Genomic DNA, 22120 nt, shown 5'->3' with positions numbered 1-22120 from the left:
GTTCACAAAAAACTAGTACAAAGCACACTATACCCAAATGAGGATGTAAACTCAAGAAAAAAGGAGGATATGGGAGAAAGGTCACAGGAATCCAAAACAGAAGAGGTCTCATGATAATGCCACATCAAGCTAAGTTTTCCTCATTTAAATGAATACCCCAAAACCTCAAGAGAATATAATTCTAATACAAGAAAATAAGCAAAAATTATTATTTTGATTATTTCATTAATAGTACTTAAAAAAAAAATACTTACAGAACTAGCTGTGCACTGTCATGTCTCCGACGTGTGATAAGAAACTTTTCCCGCCACTGCACGAAGTTCCCCAGCACATCACCAGCACCCCCAACTATGTTGATCAGGTTTCCATTGGTCCAAATCTCCAGTCCAACTAGCACAATTCGAATATTTAACATAATATACATCTGGGAAGAAAGAAATAAAAGTATATAAAATATAGTAAAGAACGTGAGAAAAATCTTTTAACCACATGAAGTAACACGGCTACTTAAATTAAAACTCCCCTGCCTAAAAAAAACTATCTTTCCTTTAATACAATGAGACTTTGGGCGGGGCGCAGTGGCTCACGCCTGTAATCTTAACACTTTGGGAGGCCGAGGCAGTTGGATCACCGGAGATCAGGAGTTGGAGACCAACCTGGCCAATATGGTGAAATCCCGTCTCTACTAAAATACAAAAATTAGCTGGGCGTGGTGGTGCACACCTGTAAACCCAGCTACTTGGGAGGCTGAGGCAGGAGAATCGCTTGAACCTGGGAGGCAGAGTCTGCAGTGAGCCGAGATTGCGCCACTGGACTCCAGCCTGGGCAACAGAGCGAGACTCATCTCATAAAAAAAAAAATACAATAAAACTTTAACCTCTCAATAGTCTCAGTTTCCTCAACCATAAAATAATAGTAACAGAGATTCGAAATCCTTATTATCTTCTATTCTAAAATCTGACAAACTCTGGAAATTAAGTTTTTGGTAAAACTGGCTCCAAAATTTGCCCTGATATAATGCAAGCCCATTCATAGTCCACATTTAACCTATTTAATGTAAATATTCCTATATTTCACTGCAGAAATATCAATGAGTCTGATTATGAGGTGCTACCCCAAGATCCTGTCGAAGGTGTTATATAATACAGAGTTAATCACACTGTTTTTCTAAACTTATCTAAAATTTTAATCACAGGTACATCAGAGGTTTCAGATAAAGGACTGTGGAACTCATAATTTCATAGGGGTACTGTAAGGAGTAAATGGGTTAATAAATGTAAAGCACTTAGCTCAGTGTCTAGCACACTGTAAGTACTCAAGTGAATGCTATCATCATCATCGTCATCATCACGTTTAATGTTCATATCAGCTTTGTAGATAAAATTATAAGAACATATATCTAATTCTTTAATATCTCCCACCGGATGAACTCCAAAATCTCAAACCAAACACTCTCTTTCTCTCTCTCTCTCTCTCTCTCTCACACACACACACACACACACACACACACACACAAATATTGTCATATCATGTTTTCAGGGTAGAAGGCAGCCTTATTCAAAATAAGATGCATTCGACAAAAATTCAAAGATCTTTCCATAAATGCCAAAGCACCTAAGCCTAGCAACTCTGAAGATAAAGTAGATGCTAATATGAAATCTCTTGCTCTTCTCAGTCTTTCTACACTGGTACTTTCCTTTAAACATTAAAAAGAGTTACAAAACAAACCAGAAAGCAGACCTCTGAAAGACTAAGTCATTGAGGCCCTATGAAAATCAGAACTCAAAATGAGACATTTTTAAGTTCTGTTCTGGGACTGAAAGAATAGGACAGAATCATCCTGGTTGATAGAAAATACAACTTACACTATCCAAGTAGTTTGCCAGGAGAATCATCTCTTCTCTCACAGCAGTCTGATTTCTTCCCATCATGTCATACTGGAAAAGCAAAGAAGGAGAATCATTATCACCAAAGTACTTTAAGAATAGAAATGTAAGGCCGGGTGCAGTACCTCATGCCTGTAATTCTAGCATTTTGAGAGGCCCAGGCGGGTAGATCACCTGAGGTCAGGAGTTCGAGACCAGCCTAGCCAACATGGCGAAACCTTCTCTCTACTAAAAATACAAAAATTAGCCAGGCGTGGTGGCAGGTGCCTATAATCCCAGCTACTCAGGAGACTGAGGCAGGAGAATCGCTTGAACCCGTGGGGGTGGAAGTTGCAGTGAGCCAAGATCCCGCCATTTCACTCCAGTCTGGGAGAAAGAGCAAAACTCCATCTCAAAAAAAATAAAAATAAAATAAAAATGTGTCTGTTACTATGAAGAATCCAAATATTTCCTCTGAACAAAAAATTGAGGCATTTAGACATTTATCAACATTTCAAATTAAGAAATTTAAAGGTTACATTGTAGTGACAGGAATAAAAGAAAAACAGGTAAAAGGGTAAAGTGAATAATAATGAAAGAGCACTGAAGACTTCATTTTATCCAAATTAGTAGAACTTTAAAACGAATTATCTTCTTAATGTTCCTTTTATTTTAATGCAAAAATATTTTCAAGCATTTCACAAAGGTAGAGTTTTAAGCAATCAAAATGCATAGATAAAAGAATAAAAGACAATCTAAAGAACTTCCTGACCCTTTCACCTCTTAAGCTAATGATGTAATCAATAAACTTTTTTTTTTTTTAATTTAACAGAATTTAGTTGAGCAAAGAATGACTGATTCAAGAATTGTGTGGCTTCCAAACCAGAACAGGTTCAGAGAGACTCTGTGCAGCCACATAGTGGAAGAAGATTTATGGACAGAAAAACGAAGTGACATACAGAAAATAGAACTGAGACAGAAACAGCCAGATTGGTTACAGATCAGCACCAATAAACCATTTCTAAATGCTGGGCTGAATTAAAAATGAGAGATTAACCAATAATCACTAGTTAAAAAATCATATGTAGATGAAAATATATAAAAGTTTAACCATCTTAAGCCAAATAAATATGACTAATTTTTCTTTGACACCTGGCTAAACTGAAATGTCTATTTTTAACATTAATTTATATAACCAATTTAGCAGAAGAAAAATTTTAAAAGGATTTATGATTTTGCTCTATGCTAAAAGCATTAGTATCAGAATATATCAGATTTTATCAGTTAGGGATCTAATCATGATCCTCCTAAACAAGAAAAAAAATTAATTTAATATATTTGATAGGGCTTGATTGAAATTGAACCTTTTTTTTAACCATTTTCTATCTGTATATAACAAATACATCTGGAGACAGCAATGAAGAAGAACATTTTGTGTGTGTTTTGTTTTGTTTTGTTTTTTTGAGATGAAGTCTCCCTCTGTCACCCAGGCTGCAGTGCAGTGGCGCCATCTCAGCTCACTGCAAGCTCCGCCTCCCGGGTTCTGGGATCACAGGCGCCCGCCACCACGCCCGGCTAATTTTTTGTATTTTTAGGAGAGATGGGATTTCACCGTGTTAGCCAGGATGGTATCAATCTCCTGATCTCGTGATCCGCCCGCCTCGGCCTCCCAAAGTGCTGGGATTACAGGCGTGAGCCACTGCGCCCAGCCAAGGAAAACATTTTGAATCTTGACTTTTGTGACTTGTCCAAAACATTCTTCTACAGAAGCTTTTTGCCCACTGTTTGGGGCAGAGTTCACACTTGTTCATATTCCATGTGCTTTTCCTTCTGCCACTTGAGGGCAATGAACCTATAATGTACAAATCCAAGTCTATCTCTTAATATTTTCTCCAAATTAGTTATTTGGGGTGGCTTGTTATTTTCCAACCTACATACAACAAGGAATTTTTTTAAAACCAAAAAAAACCTCAAAACTGTCTCTACAGCTTACAAGAAAGGAACTGCCAATCATAGTAAGTTTCCACAAATAACTTTTTCACACTGACAACAAAGTTGGAAGTAAAAGTCAAACAAAACACTAAAAATACTCTCTTTTTTAAATTACACAGCTGTTGTAACAAATACTCACCTGTACCCCCTAAACATGTGAAGTATTATATATCAATAAAAAAAGCAACATGAAAATAAATTATACAGCCATTATCTCTAAAACTGATAATCCTGTAAATGCCAAAATAGGGACACATTACTTCTCTTAGTTAAAGCAAAGCACTTAGTTCAGTTTCTTAAGTATAAATAAGGAAAATGCCCTCATGTGATCCTATACACGGAAATTAATACTATTCCCTTCTAAAGCATGCCAGGACCTGGAGGTTTTCCATCTCTCAAAGTGCAATATAGGTTATCTCAAATTCTAGAAAGCAAAGCAATTTTATTAGCCAACAAAGCCAAACCTTTTAGAGCCACAGCCCATTAAAGTAATCTGAAAAGTTCTCAAGAGCCTGATAGGCAGTACAGATTCACTCAAAAAATTCAGCATAAGCAAGTCATCAGCAAGAAAAAGAAAAAAAAATCATTAATAAAAGATAAAGTTAAAGGCAGTCACATTTGCTACATTTAGCTTCTGTTGGTATTCTGGTGGTATAAAGTTTAAGGGAAAAAAACCATTTTAGTTTTAAAATCATTATTTAAGTAAAATCAATACAAACAATGTGTAGTTTAGATTTCCTTCATTAAATGCTCACTTCTCATATCCTTTTCATGGAAAAGAAGAAAAATTGTCACCAATCTTACCCTTTCCTTGTCTACGACAATGAACAGCTCCACATACCGGGTCTGTGGCAAGACAGCTCTTCTTCTCTGTCAAAAACACAAACATCATAAAGGCAAAAGGAAGTTATAAGGCTATGATCACATCCTAATCTCTCATCACTTATTTCATGTCTGCTAAGAACATCATAAAATTATTTTACTTAACATATCCTATATCAAGAAAGTGAAAAATATGTTTTTTGAAGTGTTATCTGCTTCTTAGTGATGAAAACTTTGTCCAGTTCTGCTAATGACTTTAAGTGATGATAAACTATGTCTGAGGGGAAAAAAATGTTTTTGAAGTGTTATCTGCTATCTGCACTAATATGAGAAAAATGTTAGTTACAGATAAAATGGGTTTAAGTTTACAAAGCAGAATTACCAATTTTCTAAAATCAAAACTACACACACACACACATGCAAACACACACATATTTTAATGAAAAAGCCCATTACTATGCTGAGAGATAAAGAAAACATATCCACTAATATCCCAGAGCAGAAGTTAGAATAAGGTTGCCATTTTAAAAAATGACTAGTTTTGTCATTTTACAGAAATTCATGCGAAGTAGAATAAGCAAAAATTTTAATGTTTTCCAATGTTTAAAGTTAAAAAGAATAGCCCAAGTCAAAAGAGTGGATAGCAGCAGAGGCAATAAAAATAATGCCATAAACTAGTATAACTTAATTAAAAATATGCCTCTTTCAAGGCAGCAACAGAATCTCATATGTAGAAAGGTACAATCCCTGCAGCTGAAGTTGATCTAGTCCTAGAACCATTTCAGTCTAAGAGACACCCATGTCAAGAGTAAATCATGAAGTGCTATAGCAGTCTCCAAAGAGGGACTCAGACATAGTTTATCATCACTTAAAGTCATTAGCAGAGTGTCCTTGAAACACATCTGAAGTCATTAAGTTCCTAAAGCCGTATCTCTCTCTTTTTCCAATCTAGGGTTCAAGAATCACCATTTGAGTTGTCTAAGAGGTACCTAAATAAAAACTCTATTGCACTGGGTGCAGTGGCTTATGCCTATAATCCCAGCACTTTGGGAAGCTGAGGCAGGAGGATTGCTTGATACCAGGGGTTCAAGACCAGCCTGGGTAATGTAATGAGACCTCATCTCTACAAAAAGTTGTTTTAAATTAGCCAGGCACGGTGGGTGGCACAGACCTGTAGCAGTAGCTACTGGGATGCTGAGGCAGGAGGATTGCTTGAGCTCAAGAGGTCAAGGCCACAGTGAACATTGTTGCAGATTTAAGTCCTAGTTTCCAAAACCCACAGGATCTAAACTGTACTCAACTTGGTAGCAGGAACTATATATCGCTCATCTTTTCATCCCCTAGTACCTATCACAATGTCTGGCATATATTTGGCAAAATTAAGAAAAGAAAAAAAAACACTACTCATAGTATTGATTTCATGAATAAATACATGATTTTTCTAAAATGGTAGTCTGAGCCATGAAGAATTATGTTATTTCCTTACTCGAAGTAGCTGAGTCATGCTGGGAGGCTCTTCCTCTTCATCCTTTGCAGTTTCTTTCTCTATATCCTTGTTGGAAACTCCACATTTCAGAGGCTCTTTGTAGACATCATCCATTCGATAAATGATGTGCTCAAAATGAGAGCTGTTCTGCAGGGGTTCAATCCCATAACTCGCATTCTCTAAATGCAGCAATCCTCTGAATGTTGCATTACACGTATACAAATTTTAAGAAAAAGAAAATACACAAGGAATCAGAAAACCTAAGTTCAAGTCCTAATTCTTAAATGTGTAAGTAGGCATAGCATTACATAGAGAAGAAAATAGAGGCTTTAGAATCAGACAGATAGGGCTGGGACGGACCTAAATTGAAAGCTCAAATAGCTACTTAGCAGCGTCACTGCCTGTAAGTCACTTAACCTCCCTGAGTGATCTACGGGAAATGGAAGGCACTACAAAATAGTGGCTAAGAATGTGGCATCCGGACCAGAGGACAAGAGTCTGAATTCCAAATGTCTTCTACTAGCTGCAGGACTCTCAGCGAGGTATTTAACCTCTGCCTTGGTTTGCACTCTGCACAGGATTGTTCTGAAAACAAAATTACTTAATAAGCAGAAAACACACGGAACATATTGCCTGGCACACAGTAACTACCAAATAAGTGTTAGTGCCTAAGTGAATATAATCATATTCATCTTATATAGAACTAATATGTTTTAGTTCAAGCAATCATGCAGTCAACCAACCAGCACAGTGCCATGTTGCCATGACCTCAAGGAATGTAATGTTAATACTATAATAACTTAATTTGAATTGTAATATAATTTATCTGAACTTCAGTTTGCTCACCTAAATACAGAGATAATGAGCTCTTATTCACAGTCATAATAAGACTTAAATACAAGTCTTAAATAATACAAGTGAAAATTTTATAAATATAAAGTGCTACAGAAATTTAAAGTATATTTCATTTTAAATAGCAAAAATGATTTAGTGGTCTCAAAAAAAATTTCCTCTTTACATATTAAAACTCATCAACTATAATACTTTCTTAAATAAACATGCCAAGGATATCTGAAACACAGCTGTAAAAATGTTCAGTAACATCAAAGTAAATTCCAATTTTGCTAAGTGCCCAAAATGATTTAATTTGGAGACAGAAACAGGAAAGAGGGTAAGACATAGGGGAAACAAAAAAAAAGAAGATAAAGGAAATTGCTTACCTGAGTCCAAAACAGTCGCTAAGAGCAATGGATGAATTATGAACTCCCTCCACATAGCCCCGATAATGACAATGATTCTAAATGAAAAATACTGTATTATCTTCAAATATTGCTACATTGCTGAAAATCATCACAGAAATTGCAGAGCTAACAAAATTACTTTAGGCCAGTCAAGTTTAATAATAACAAAGTTTTATTTATATTATTGGCATCTCACAGTATCACATGGCATTCTTTAGACCATCTGCGGACTATCTCCTACCACCCTATGAGTACACAAATGTTTAGGCAAAATTCCAGGGGATACAAGGTACAAACAGCTCTGCCTCAGTGACCTTTCAGCCTAGAAGCAGAACAAGATGCATTATATCATCTTTAACATTTTAAATCACAGTCAATCCAACAACCAACAAAAGCCAGTTGACATCTCACTAAAACTGTGTTTGTGTAAAATGACCCTGTGGAAGACACTAATGATACTTTATAAACTTTAATCTGAAGCAATAGAATCCCCAGGGGAAAGTATGTAAATTTTTCAGTGAAACTTAATTTCATTTTATGGACAAAAGTATATGTCATTATAATACATGACAGTCTGGCCATGTTAAAAAAATCACAGTATCCAAGTTTTATTTTGTATTTCAAATCTACAATCACACTTTCATCTAACTGAACAATATTAAATAACCAAGAAATAAGTGAGACACCATCTGTCTTAGTTGACATTTTTCAAACACCCAGAAAAGCATAACTCTATCATACTTATGATACTTAAGTATTATATAAGATAATAGTTACATAAGTTTCTATATAATTAAATCAATTTTTGGCAGTTTTAAGAACATACGCTGTCAATAATAGCAACAAATAATAACATTCGTTGAGTTAAAAATTGTCAGACTGTTCTAAGCATCTTGTAAGTATTAACTCAGTTAAGTTTCCCAGTATATCCATAAAGTGGTAACTATTATTACATTTTAAAGCGAAGATACCAAGGCACAAACAGATTAAAGTAGCTTCATCAGCAAATAATGAGTCAAAACTCAAGCCCAAACAGTGTATGTCTGAAGAAAGTATGCCAAGAAACCTCTATGAGGAAAAAAATGCCTTTTAACATTACTGCTTTTGTCAAGTGACACAAATTATGTGGTGTTTGGCCTTCTGCCTTGGTAATCATTGGATGCATGACTGGATGAATGCGTTATTTTCTATCTGGTTTATGCTGTAAGGTAAATTCAAACTCCTCTACTAATTTTCTATTAAACAATGGACCAACAACACACTAAGATAAAGAAATCAGATAGTGGACCAGAAGATAGGCCTAAGTCAGCATTTCCTTGGTTTTTGTAAGTACTAATAATTAATCTAAAGATTTTTTTGCCTCCTATTTGAAGAATGCTGCAAAAGTGCGCTACCAACAGAAACAATTCAACATAGCAAAGTATTACAAAGTTCAGAAGAAAAATAAAACATACACATGTAATGGGAATAAAGATTTCTCATGAAAACCATTGCAAAAGAAAAAAAGGTATAATACCTAACTGCCAAAAAGGACTGTAAAACACTCAAACAAAACTAGAAATGTTTATGCTCTAGTAATAAACACAGAAAGCCAAATTTGACATCTGCCAATTATTTTGGGTATTCTGGCCAGCTCTGTCCCCAGGAGTACTCTGTTCTCTGATGCAGAGAGGACCACACCTCTTTTAGGAAACAATTATTTTCAGAAAAAATTTAGAACATTAGAACACATAACATCAAATGAGTGTTTTTCTTTACTAAATATCACTGACAAATTAAATGTTTTAATAAGTGCACTTTTAGAGATATTAACTTTCAACAAAAAAATCAGAAACTCCTATTTTCAAAACATATCAAATTTTCTCATCAGTAAGGATTACCATTAAATAGAAGATTTATTTTCCTAGTCTTTAAAAAAAAAACCTTAACTACTGAGTACCTGGAGAGCTGTAAGGTACAGCTTAGTCTATAGAAATGCACCCACTTTTCCCAAGATAACCCATATGTTATAATGTTAAAGGTACCCTGTGGGGCTGTGCAATGTAACAGTCCTGAGTGCCTATACAGAACTCATTTTTAAATTATAATTGTTTTAAAATTTGCTATGGGATCAAGAGAAAAATACATTACCTGTATATTGGGATGGTCAGTGATTAAAGTCCCTTCCTTGTTGTAAGTATAAACCACAAAATCTTCAGGCAAAAGGTCTCTGGAAGAGAAATAAAACACCGTTTATATATATGTTATCTATCTACAACTAAGGACACGATTCATAAGGCATTATTCCTAGAGGAGACAAGCAGGAGTAAATAAGAACTTTCACCAGATAAATTATTTTTAAATGTGCTATTGTAAAATTAAAAGCTCATAACAGCTGGGTGCAGTGGCTCACACTTGTAACCCCAACATTTTGGAAGGCTGAGGTAGGAGGATCACTTGAGGCCAGGAGTTTGAGACCAGCCTAAGCAACACGGTGAGACCCTGTCACTACAAAAAATAAAAAATTAGCTGGGCATAGTGGCACACACATATAGTCCCAGCTACTCAGGAAGCTAAGGTGGGAGGATTGCTTAAGCCCAGGAGTTCAAGGCTGCAGTGAGCTATGATCATGCCTCTGCACTCCACCCTGGATAACAGAGTAAGACCTTGTCTCTTAAAAAAAAAAAAAGGAGAAAAAAAAAAAGCTCATAAACGGACAACTCTGAAATAGTGTACATTACTTATTCATAAATAATATTTAATATTAAGCTACACATTTTGTAATGGTCTTAAAATGCTAGTTCCAAAAAATTTAAGACAACATAAATAATGTCCCTAAATTTTTCAGATATGGCTCACAGGAAAAGTAAAAACTGGGTTATTGACAGTATATCATATTTACATTAGAAAAATAAATGGTTTTTTACACTCTTTTCTTAAAGTTCTATATAAATAAGAATTAACCTCCTAAGTATGGAGGCAAATTTCTGTCTCAATTGTTGAAAGAAACAATTATTCCTGATTTCCAAATCTTCACTCCATGTTAAGGAGGTTCAGTGGCATCAAGCATGTTTATGAGGATCACGTTCTCTTGCAGCAGGACTGGAGCAGCTGTATGCTTATTTCCAGGCCTTATGGACAAGTCAGAGATGTAATGTGCTAACTAGTGATTCATAAATATGCCCTTTCAAGTTCAAAACTCCCCTGGAGGCACCCGGGACCAGCCTGTCTATATATTTTTTTATTATTATTATCCTTTAAGTTCTAGGGTACATGTGTACAACGTGCAGGTTTGTTACATATGTATACATGTGCCAAGTTGGTGTGCTGCACCCATTAACTCATCATTTACATTAGGTATATCTCCTAATGCTATCCCTCCCCACTCCCCCTACCCCACGACAGGCCCTGGTGTGTGATGTTCCCCTTCCTGTGTCCAAGTGTTCTCATTGTTCAATTCCCACCTATGAGTGAGAACATGTGGTGTTTGGTTTTTTGTCCTTGCAATAGTTTGCTGAGAATGATGGTTTCCAGCTTCATCCATGTCCCTACAAAGGACATGAACTCATCCTTTTTTATGGCTGCATAGTATTCCATGGTGTCTATGTGCCACATTTTCTTAATCCAGTCTGTCATTGTTGGACATTTGGGTTGGTTCCAAGTCTTTGCTATTGTGAATAGTGCCGCAATAAACATATGTGTGCATGTGTCTTTATAGCAGCATGATTTATAATCTATTGGGTATATACCCAGTAATGGGATGGCTGGGTCAAATGGTATTTCTAGTTCTAGATCCTTGAGGAATCGCCATACTGTCTTCCACAATGGTTGACAGCCTGTCTATATTGACTAGAGATGAATAAATGGAAGGTTTTTGTCCGATTTAGTTAGGTACACAGCCTGACTTTAGCTACATGATCAGCAAAGTAGGAAAGATACCTTCAGTAAACTTGTGCCTGGGCTCCCCAGAAAATATGATGCCTCACACATATCTCAGCGGTTCATAATCTGGAGGCAAAGCACATCTGTGCAACTGAGAAAGGACTCTGGGGGTCATGCCTTGATGACTGCCTGCACTTTCTTTGTCCTGATGCATTATATCCTTTACCTTTATTAAAGTCTATGTGAGTAGGCATAGAAGTAGCCTGTGGAACCTTAGTCTTTCCAGTAATTGGACCCTATTCAGTCACTGCAGGCTCCCCTTCTCCCCAACTCCCCCACATATGTGTAGCCTTTGCTCCCTTAGTGATGCATTTGAAAAGAATAAACTGGAGGTACTTGGTTCCAGTCTCTGCCTTCTTTCCTGTTTAGAAGTCACTGCCTGCCCAGCCAGCTGCCACTGTGCAGCACCAATATGAAGAGCTAAATCTGCTTAATCCCAGGGTTCAGGATCCACTAAACCATATCAAACTAGAAAGAAAACCAATATACTATTGGAAAAACATTACTGAAAAGCCAAAATAAATTAAATGTCTTACTTGTTCCTTTCCAAGTGAATAATATGCTCTTTTCCTTCAGCCTGAATAACATAAGATACCTAAATGCACAGAAGGGGAAAAGAATAAAACATCATCTTAAAAATTACTTTTCAACAACATCTCATTTATAAGATGCAGGAAATTCCATCCTGAATTAAAATAATTTGGTATTGGCTGAACTATTTAATAGAAGAACTTTGTGTCTATTCTTAAATAATAAAAAATATACTCTGATCATCCCTTCCTTCCTTTCATAACTGATCATGGAAAATAACCCCATGTCTATCTAACTCTTCTTAAATTCATTTCTAATTCAGCTATAACTGCAGGGATTATCTTCTCAAGTCCATCGATGTATTACCTACAGTACAAAGATAGTTCCTGCTTTTGTCTAAATGAAATGAAACTCTTGGTTTCAAGAAATTATACCTAGTTCTACTTATATAAAGTTAAAAAGAAATTCAACTCCTTTTATGATACAAATTACAGGGCTTACCTCATTTTATCAATTCTAAAACATGCTTTTTTCCCTCACATTAACGTCCTTGAAATGAGGATGCATCATACAAAGGCAAAGCAGTCTAGACTAACTAGCAGCACCTCTGTCTTTTTTTTTTTTTTTTTGAGATGGAGTCTCACTCTGTCACCTAGTCTGGAATGCAGTGGCACAATCTCGGCTCACTGCAACCTCTGCCTCCCGGGTTCAGGAAATTCTCCTGTCTCAGCCTCCCAAGTAACTGGGATTACAGGCGTCCACCAACACACCCGGCTAATTTTTGCATTTTTAGTAGAGACGGGGTTTCACCACATTGGTAAGGCTGGTCTTGAACTCCTGACCTGAGGTGATCCACCCAGCTTCCCAAAATGCTGGGATTACAGGCATAAACCACCCTGCTGGGCCACTTCCGTGTCTTTATTAGTGGTACATAAAACAATATGGTGTGTCTCACAATTGATGGCATCTTAGAGTCAAGGAATTAAAGTAACATATATACACATCCTCCAATTCATGGGATCATCTTCTCTACCTCAGGCAACTCTGAAACAACTTCCCCAGCAATTCACCATGTCATTAGCCACAAGTGCTTAACGTGATCTCTGGAACTAAGAGATGTGACTTCGCCTTAACTCTTTAATAAAAAAGAAAGTCATGGAGGGACTCGACAACTAACATTATCAGAAGTGTCTACTTAATATTCCCTTCCGTTTCCAGACTCAGTTAACCTTTTGTCAAGAAACAGCATCAACCCCTTCACCACGGCACATCTGCCTCTGACTTCTAAGCGCTAGACCAACCTATGGATCCTGTCATCCACCTCCACATCCTGCATGGGAATCCAAGAACCCTTCATCATCTACCTCAGTCTCCAGTGGGCCAGCAAAACCACCAAGCTCTTTCTATTGCCACAGCTTTGTCATGTGCCTTTCTACTCATTCTGCTCTTAGATAATCACGTGATGTAATAACATCACTGCTATGTCTACTAAAAAGAAATCTGAGAAACTGAAGATTGTTTTGTGATAGTTTACTCCTCCCCCAAGTATCTGCCTGGATTGTTCACCCCCCTCCTTCTAGTCTTTACTAAAGGGCTACCTTCTCGTAAGGCTTTCCCTGGCCATCCTACTGAAAAATGCAATCCTCTCCCCAGCAACTCACCATTTCCAGCCTCCCTATCCCCCTTCTTGCTTTAATTTTCTCCATAGCACTTATCACCATCTGAAGTAATATACATTTTTGGTTTGGGGGGGGGGGTTTGTTTTTGTTGTTGTTGTTTTTGTTTTTGTCTCTCTCTCTCTCTCTCTCTCCCTGCCCCCCCCCCCCATCACTAGAATGCAAGCTCCATAGAATACAAGACTGCATTCATGCAAGGGCATAAATTTTTGTCTGTTTTGTTCACTGCCGTATCCCCAATACCTAAATGGTGCCTAGCATACAATAGTAACTCAATAAATACTTTTTAACGAGTTAATTACATTCACTGTTGAATGAGCAAAATCCAGTTCAATATGCACTGACTATATCACTTCTCCAAATATTAACCAAAGCATAAAAATGACAATTATCTATGACGATCCCAAGTATTAATGAGGGAAGTACTAAATGAAGATACTATCAGAGACACAAAAAAGGAGAAAACATGGTCCCTAGGCTGAAAGTCTACCATTGACTGTAGAAAAGGAGGAAAACAGGTGGCTCATGCCTGTAATCCCAGCACTCTGGGAGGCTGAAGCAGGTGGATCACTTGAAGCCAAGAGTTCGAGACCAGCCTGGCCAACATGGCAAAACCCCATCTCAACTAAAGATACGAAATTAGCTGGGTATAGTGGCACATGCCTGTAGTCCCAGCTACTCAGGAGGCAGAGGCACGAGAATCACTTGAACCCAGGAGGCGGAGGCTGCAGTGAGCCAAGATCGCACCCAAACAGGGATTAACTGATTAACTCTATCCTAAGACAAAACATAATCAAATGGTAGTCTGCCCAGTTCAAACCAAAAACAAGTAAAATGTATAAATTCATCTACAGAGGAGATCTTAGAGTCATTTACTCCTCAGTTGGAGAGATGTAAATGGAGTTGAGTGACCAACCCAACTAGTAGGTGGTGGTACTCACAGGGAGGACCAAAACTAAAAGTTCCTGATCCTCAACTCCAGTGTTCTTTTTACAATGCCCACTCCCTAAAAAACAGGCACGCTGCCTTACATTTCTGAGTGTATCAGCAATTCAGATATTAATACAATTCATAAGCTAAATTCTATGCATTATTACCTGTCATTGTTAAATTATAATAAAATTTAATTATACTTCTATAAAGTTGAAGGACTTATAAAATTAAAGTCCAAATAAGATTACTTCTGAACAAACTTTACAAAAGAATAGTAGAAAAAATAATTTTTGTGCACTGGTTACCCCATTTACAGCACAGTAGGTTTCTTCCAATATGAAAATAAAACTTGTATTTTAGTAAATATTCCCTAATATAAAATATACGCATTTAACACATTATCACTCTCCACCGTCAGTGAAGATATAGTATAAAGTGTTCTAGCTATCACAAACTGAGTGAGGTTATATAATTATAGTAAGAATTATAATTCTTATTATAATAAAATCACTGTGACCATTGCCTGTCAGTTAAAATGTATATAATCAGCAGCCTACCCTAGTGATACAATTTTGTTTAACTATTCTATTCTGTTATGTTTCGAGTTGATCATATTGTCTTTAAAAAAGAAAAGATACTGGCTGGGCGTGGTGGCTCACACCTGTAATCCCAGCACTTTGCAAGGCCGAGGCAGGCGAATGACCTGAGGTCAGGACTTCAAGATCAGCCTGGCCAACATGGTGAAACCCTGTCTCTACTGAAAAATACCAAAAAATTAGCCAGACATGGTGGCACATGCCTGTAGTCCCAGCTACTCAGAAGGCTGAGGCAGGAGAATCACTTGAACCCAGAAGGTGGAGGTTGCAGTGAGCCGAGATCACACCACTGCACACTCCAGCCTGGGCGACAGAGCAAGACTCCATTTTAAAAAAAAAAAAAGGATATTAAGGCTCAATATGTTGCTTTTACTAGCATAACATCCAGGGGACATCAGTACCATATGGTGCTATTCTAAGTAACAGCCAAGTAATAACTCACTGAACTGATCACTGCTACAAATAACACCTTTGTGCTAAAACAGAAAAGAAAAAAATTAACCACATATTATTTCTCAACAATTATAACTTACTTGTTTTGAATAGGGCCTAGGGGCTTCTCTTCTTTCTCTAGTTAATCTCCAAGGAGTTATAATTTCATAAGAAGAAAGATGTGAGGTCTGTTGAAAGCCTACAGAAAAGGCAAAAACAAATATAATAAGTGAAACTGAAAAACTACGTGGGAACACAATATAATGAAAAATCAAAATGTTCAAATCACAGAAAAATCACCTGACATTCCCATATTACAATATGCATATAATAAAAGTACTCATATAAAGTTGTATTAATACATGAAAATAGCAATGCATTAGGTAAGTATGAGGGAGGAAAATGTATTTTCTTAAAAAAGAATATCAGTCTTTATCCAAACATTATAAATATACATAGCAATCATTTCAAACATTTTTAGCTATAAACCCTAACCCTTTTTTCTCAAAAGAAATCTTAAGGTATAAACACAAGAAGAAAGAAAAGAACTGGTTTGGTGGGGAAATGGGGGAAAGGCATCCTAGAGTCTAGCACCCTTCACTCATCTCCCATTCCTCCCCCTCACCCAGCATGAATAACATCCTCTCAGATGATACTACTAAATACTTACTGCTACAGTTTGTATGTTTGACTTCTCCAAATCTCACGCTGAAATTTAACCCCCAGTGTGCCAGTGTTGGGAGGTGGGGTGTAGTAACAGGTGTTGGGGTCATTGAAGTGGATCCCTCATGAACAGAGTAATGCCATCCCTGAGGGGCCAGGGTAGGAGAAAGAGTTCTTGTTCTATTAGTTCCCTCAAGAGCTGGTTGTTAAAAAGAGCCTCTCTCCCCCATCTCTCTTGCTTCCTCTTGCCTTATGACCTCTGTACCCGCCAGCTCCGCTTCCCCTTCTGCCATGAATGGAAGCAGCCTAAAGCCCTCACCAGAAGCAGATGCCTGTGCCATGCTTCCTGTACAGCCTGCAGTGAATCAAATAAACCTCTTTTCTTTATAAATTACCCAGTCTCAGGTACTCCTTTATAGCAACACAGACTAAGACACTTATTAAATGGACAAGGACTGTAAGAGGGAAAAGGTACTTTTAATATCTGATGGGTTAACTCTGACAAATACATACTCAACAATGTAGCCACGCTTTCAAATTATAGCCATTAATCCATCACAAAAACACAAATTTTAAGCAAAATTTCTTAACAGTTAAGAGCTCTGAAAGTCATGCAGACTAACTCCCATTTCCAATTCTGTTCAGTCTATCCGCATGGAATCATGATGTCTTAAGCAGGGCTTGGGTTCTAAAGTCATCACTTGAATTGAAATTGAGTATAATCAAAATTGCCAACACAAATCTCTTAGGAAGACACACCATGTGGGAGTCCAATACATAGTCTCTCGATAAGTCCAACACAACCTCTTTTTCTTCCAGCATTATTACCAATGGCTTAACCCTTACTAACCTCACCTCTAGATGACTATGATACCTTTTTACCTGGTCTCCCTACTCTCATACTCTCCTCCTTTGATCCAATCTATATGTTCATTCACTCATGAGTTTCCTAATACCCCTCAGATTTCTCAAATATAGATTAAGATGAATTATTTACATCTAACTTTTTCCAAGATAACATTGTATATAAAATGTTTATAATTTTGTCTGGTTTGGGATTAAAAAGATACAAACAGCTGCAAACAAGAAACCATAAATTATATCATATCCAATGTACTGCATGTATAAACAGCTTTTAAACTCTTTACCCATCAATCCCTTATATTTCTGTAAGAATCTGTTTTCTTTTGCACAGGACACAACTGGAGAAACTGGTTATTTTACCAAGTTTTGACTGGAATGTTGTGCTTTCCTTTAAGGAATCAAACTTGATTTATAGAACCGATAAAAGCCCCTTGAGAAAACTGGCCACATACCTTGTCTACACAGTCCCTGTACGAGGTTCCTGATCTGTTGTAAATAAAGACTGTCACTATCTACAGTCCCAGGTGTGTCAAGTTATCTTGGGACCTCAAGAGGAGAGGAATTTACCCAACTCATACCTGTATTTAACTGTGCAAACCCATGGCTGAGCTCTGCTTTAAAAAACATCTCAGGTGAGATTCCTTATGGAACAAAGTTCCATCAAAGCCAATTAAAAAGTGCCTATGTGGCAAATAATTATTCTTACTGCAATTATTTCAAACAATCAGGCCAAGCATAATAAGACTAAAGCTTATTTTGCTACCCATCATATCCTATCAGTCCTATCATGATTTGTTTTTAATGAAAATGGAGGACAGGAAAGGGAAAAATTACGTTTCAAGAACTATAGTACACCTGACATTAAATTCTAGTCTCATCAGTTGTTTCTGAGTTTTTCCCTGCAATTTGGACTGACTCTGCTTATTTCAGTGAACCAATCAGTGATCTCTAACTGCAGCTCAGAATAAACAAGAGGGATGGCTAATGTTAACATCTGGATCAGTATTCTAATTCTGGGCATATATTGGAATCAGTTAGTGACCCTATATCAGCTGGGTTCCAACAATTGCCCAGTTCATGGAACAGCTTTCTATTTAGTTTACTTGGAATAATTTTACTTATTTGCTATACTGTCATGAAATATATTGCTATTGTAATCTTTGTGTAGGAATGCAGGATAAGCTTACTGAATGTTTTCTTAAATTGAACACTTATTAATTATTAATCTTACTAATCTTCTAGATATCACCTTTTGTGTTGTGAACTCAACAGAACTCAGAGTTGTGAATGGCCCTCAGCATAATGACGTTGTGTGACTGAGCTCCTCTCTACCCCGGATACAAGATACCCTATAGTTAGGCAGGAACATGATTGCCCCTATTCAGCCTGAAGAAGTCACAGAAGATAGATCTTTGTCCCTCTACAATCTTTAGGATTAAGGTTCCCATGTAAAAGGATGAGGGAAAATATGTCAGCAGCACTCAGACCAGACTGACTCCAACTTGAATAGAGGCTGGATAAAATAAGGCTGAGACCTACTGGGCTGCATTCCCAGAAGGTTAGGCATTCTTAGTCACAGAATGAGATAGGAGGTCAGTACAAGATACAAGTCACAGAGACTTTGCTGATAAAACAGTTTGCGGTAAAGAAGCCAGCTAAAACCCACCAAAACCAAGACTGCGAGGAAAGTGACCTCTGGTCGTCCTCACTGCTCATTATATGCTAATTATAATACATTAGCATGCTAAAAGACACTCCCACCAGCACCATGACAGTTTACAAATGCCATGGCAATGCCCAGAAGTTACCTTATATGGTCTAAAAATCCTTGCCCCTTTCCCAGAAAACTCATGAATAATCCACCCCTTGTTTGGCATATAACCAAGAAGCAACTATCAGTATACTCAGCTGAGCAGCCCGTGCCACTGTTCTGCTCGTGGAGTAGCCATTCTTTTATTCCTTTACTTTCTTAATAAACATGCTTTCACTTTTTAAAAAAAAATTCTCTTTAAGTAAATCATTACAGACAAGATTACATATGCTGGCCAGGCATGGTAGCTCAACCCTGTAATCCTAGCACTTTGGGAGGCCAAGGCAGGAGGATCACTTGAGCCCAAGAGCTCAAGACCAGCCTGAGCAACAGAGCAAGACCCTGTCTCTTCAAAAAAATTTAAAAATTAGTGGGGCATGGTGGCACATGCCTGTGGTCCCAGCTACTCAGGAGGCTAAAGTGGAAGGATCACCTGAGCCTGGGAGATCAAGGCTGCAGTGAGCCATGATTATGCAACTGCACTCCAGCCTGAGCAACAGAGGGAGACCCTGCCAAAAAAAAAAAATAAAGAATACATATGCTGATAGACACAGACAACTGTTACACTAGAAGCTAAACAATATAGAACCAAACTGAAGTTTTTTCGTTACAACTCAGAACCAAACATAACAGAGAAAAAGAAATGCCTCCAAAAATAAAGCATCTGTAGTTCTTATGGGCAGGCAGGTATTTAAAGAGCTTTCATTTTGAAACAGGTTCAGTTACTTTATAGGCAAAGTTAGTTTACTTTACTTATAGTTTCAGGCCAAAACTAGAAACCAAGTCTTCTGTCTTCTATGAATCTTTTACCGAGACTGCCAATGAAGTAAAATAAAAGCTAAATATAGGAAGATTATACGTAACTTTTTTTCCTTCTTTTCCATTTTAAACACAATTCTCATTTGAAAAGCAAAATGCCGTAACTAATCACTTATTTTTAAAAGACTTTCAAAATTATAGCACCCTGAAATAATTTCTGTGTGTAAGGGCTGTTATTCTGATATTGACATCTTGCTTCTAAAATCCAAGCAACCACTTTCTGAATTAAAGCCATGCCATAAAAAGTTCCAAAACATCATAACAAATGCACATACTGGGGGAATGTCATCAAAATAATACATACTAATTGTATGAAAATCCTCCTTCCCATGTTTTTTTCCCAAAATTCCTTTCTTATCTCTAGGTCAGGTTTTTTTCTTTTTTCCTGTTCATATCCTGCATAGATTTTCCCCAAATTCCCTTTAGTTGTTTTTTTTTTTTTTAAATTCCAAATAGTAGCAGTTTCTCATGGGAACCAAAATAACATTTTTCCACATTAATATAAAAAAAGAGCTTTAATATTATTTGTATAAACCTTCAACCTGTAAGGGCGCTGTCCTGTGTACTGTGGAATGTTTTGCAGCATCCCTGGCCTCCACCCACTAGATGCCAACAGCATCCCCCAGTTGTGACAGCTAAAAGTTTCAGGCCAAGACTAGAAACCAAGTCTTCTGTCTTCTATGAATTTTTTACCCAGACTGCCAATGAAGTAAAATAAAAGCTAAATATAGGAAGATTACATATAACTTTCTTTCCCTCTTTTGCATTTTAAACACAATTCTCATTTTGAAAACCAAAATGCCACAATTAATCATTTATTTTATCAAGAGTCTGAGACCAGCCTGGCCAACATGGTGAAACCCTGCCTCTACAAAACATGCAAAATTAGCCAGGCCTGGTGGCGCTCTCCTGTTGTCCCAGCTACTCGGGAGGCTGAGGCACGAGACCACTTGAGCCAGGATGGGGAGGTTGCAGTGAGCTGAGAACCACTTTAGCCCAGGAGGGGGAGGTTGCAGTGAGCTGAGATTGCACCACTGCACTCCAGCCTGGGCAACCTCCGAGGGAGACTCCGTCTAAAAAAAAAGAAAAAGAGAAAACGGCCTGAAGAGAAAACGTGAACCACTGAAACATGAAACTTAACATGTCTAATCTTAAAGAAAGGAAAAGGTGTTAGTTGCACTTCTTTCTTTCTCTAACTCCGTAGATCTTTCTATACACTGTAGTGTGTTTTAGAGGAAGTCTGAGCACACTTTTCATAATAGTAATTGTAGTACAGGGAAGTGAGTTAAAAGAGTTCTACCTAATTGTGGCCGGGCACAGTGGCTCAAGCCTATAGTCCCAGCAATTTGGGAGGCCGAGGCAGGCGGATCACGAGGTCAGGAATTCCAGACCAGCCTGGCCAATATGGTGAAACCCCGTCTTTACTAAAAAAAAATACAAAAATTAGCCGGGCGTGGTGGTGCGTGCCTGTAGTCCCAGCTACTCGGGAGGCTGAGGCAGAAGAATCACTTGAACCTGGGAGGTGGAGGTTGCAGTGACCCCAGATTGTGCCACTGCACCCCAGTCTGGGCAACAGAGTGAGACTCTGTCTCAAAAAAAAAAAAAAAAAAAAAAAAGAATTCTACCTAATTGCAAAGCAAACAAATGTGAACTCCAAACCATGGGCTTCTCCTGCCTACTACATAAACAAACAGCCACTTTTAAGTACTTCCACTGTAGAAAATAAAAATAAACCTGGCCTCCACATTCAGGATAAATAAGATAATTCTGTTTCCAAAGTATTTCTTGTAGAGAAATTGTTTCAATTAGATCTACAAAGCACTATTATTTCGAGCCATATAATAGGTTGGTGCAAAAGTAATTGCAGTTTTTGCCTTTTTTTTTTTTTTTTTTTTAATCATTCTAGTATTCGCCAGGTCAATTCCAGATAAATACATACCGTATATTAATAACTACCTTTGGGCTGGGCGTGGTGGCTCATGCCTGTAATCCCAGCACTTTGGGAGGCCGAGGCGGGTGGATCACAAGGTCAGGAGTTCAAGACCAGCCTTGCCAACATGGTGAAACCCTGTCTCTACTAAAAATACAAAATTTAGCCAGGTGTGGTGGCGCACGCGCCTGTAATCCCAGCTACTCAGGAGGCTGAGGCAGAAGGATCGCTTGAACCTGGGAGGCAGAGGTTGCAGTGAGCTGAGATCGAGCCATTGCACTCCAGTCTGGGCAACAGTGTGAGACTCCATCTCAAAAAAAAAAAAAACTACCTTCAAACATACTTAATTATAATTTCTACTGCTAGGTCTACACTCTTACTTTTTTTAGTGTTACACTTTTCTTAAATATTTACCCATCTTTACATTTAAAAAGAAATGGCTTCTGTTGTTTGTTTAAGTGTCCCTTTGGGAAAAACACCACCCATTTCTAAGATTTAATGCCCTAGACAATTTAAGTTCCTCCAGCAAAGAATTTAAG

The 22120-nt window shown here is 37.5% G+C and overlaps 1 protein-coding gene and 1 non-coding gene across 8 annotated transcripts in view, besides 2 other annotated features; one reads left to right on the top strand and one right to left on the bottom strand.

The window, feature by feature from the left end:
* The window catches only part of ADAM9 (ADAM metallopeptidase domain 9), a 108289-nt gene that overhangs the window by 81682 nt on the left and 4487 nt on the right, over positions 1–22120 (bottom strand). For all 7 annotated transcript variants that reach the window (NR_027638.2, NR_027878.2, NR_027639.2 and 4 more), the window contains exons 2-9: positions 15597–15694; positions 11864–11922; positions 9537–9615; positions 7386–7462; positions 6166–6361; positions 4662–4727; positions 1866–1937; positions 255–424 (exon numbers count right to left, since the gene is read on the bottom strand). Coding sequence is in view for 3 of the 7 variants with exons in the window: in NM_003816.3 (NP_003807.1) it covers positions 255–424; positions 1866–1937; positions 4662–4727; positions 6166–6361; positions 7386–7462; positions 9537–9615; positions 11864–11922; positions 15597–15694 (817 nt within the window). In the remaining 4 variants the exon portion in view is untranslated. The remainder of the gene's footprint in view (positions 1–254; positions 425–1865; positions 1938–4661; positions 4728–6165; positions 6362–7385; positions 7463–9536; positions 9616–11863; positions 11923–15596; positions 15695–22120) is intronic.
* Positions 4895–4964, top strand: SNORD38D (small nucleolar RNA, C/D box 38D). The gene has a single exon (NR_145988.1). It is a non-coding gene; the product is annotated as a small nucleolar RNA, C/D box 38D (small nucleolar RNA).
* Positions 19293–19362: an enhancer, noted in NCBI's record as "active region_27277". NCBI's record gives its function as "activates an Ori minimal core promoter by ATAC-STARR-seq in GM12878 lymphoblastoid cells {active_cell/tissue: GM12878}" and the evidence as "EXISTENCE:reporter gene assay evidence [ECO:0000049][PMID:35858748]".
* Positions 20657–20796: an enhancer, noted in NCBI's record as "active region_27276". NCBI's record gives its function as "activates an Ori minimal core promoter by ATAC-STARR-seq in GM12878 lymphoblastoid cells {active_cell/tissue: GM12878}" and the evidence as "EXISTENCE:reporter gene assay evidence [ECO:0000049][PMID:35858748]".

The sequence above is a fragment of the Homo sapiens genome, chromosome 8 (genome assembly GCF_000001405.40).
Source record: "Homo sapiens chromosome 8, GRCh38.p14 Primary Assembly".
NCBI classification, from domain to species: Eukaryota; Metazoa; Chordata; class Mammalia; order Primates; family Hominidae; genus Homo; species Homo sapiens.
Note: the sequence above shows the minus strand (reverse complement) of the source record. Positions and strands in the feature narration are given on the sequence as shown.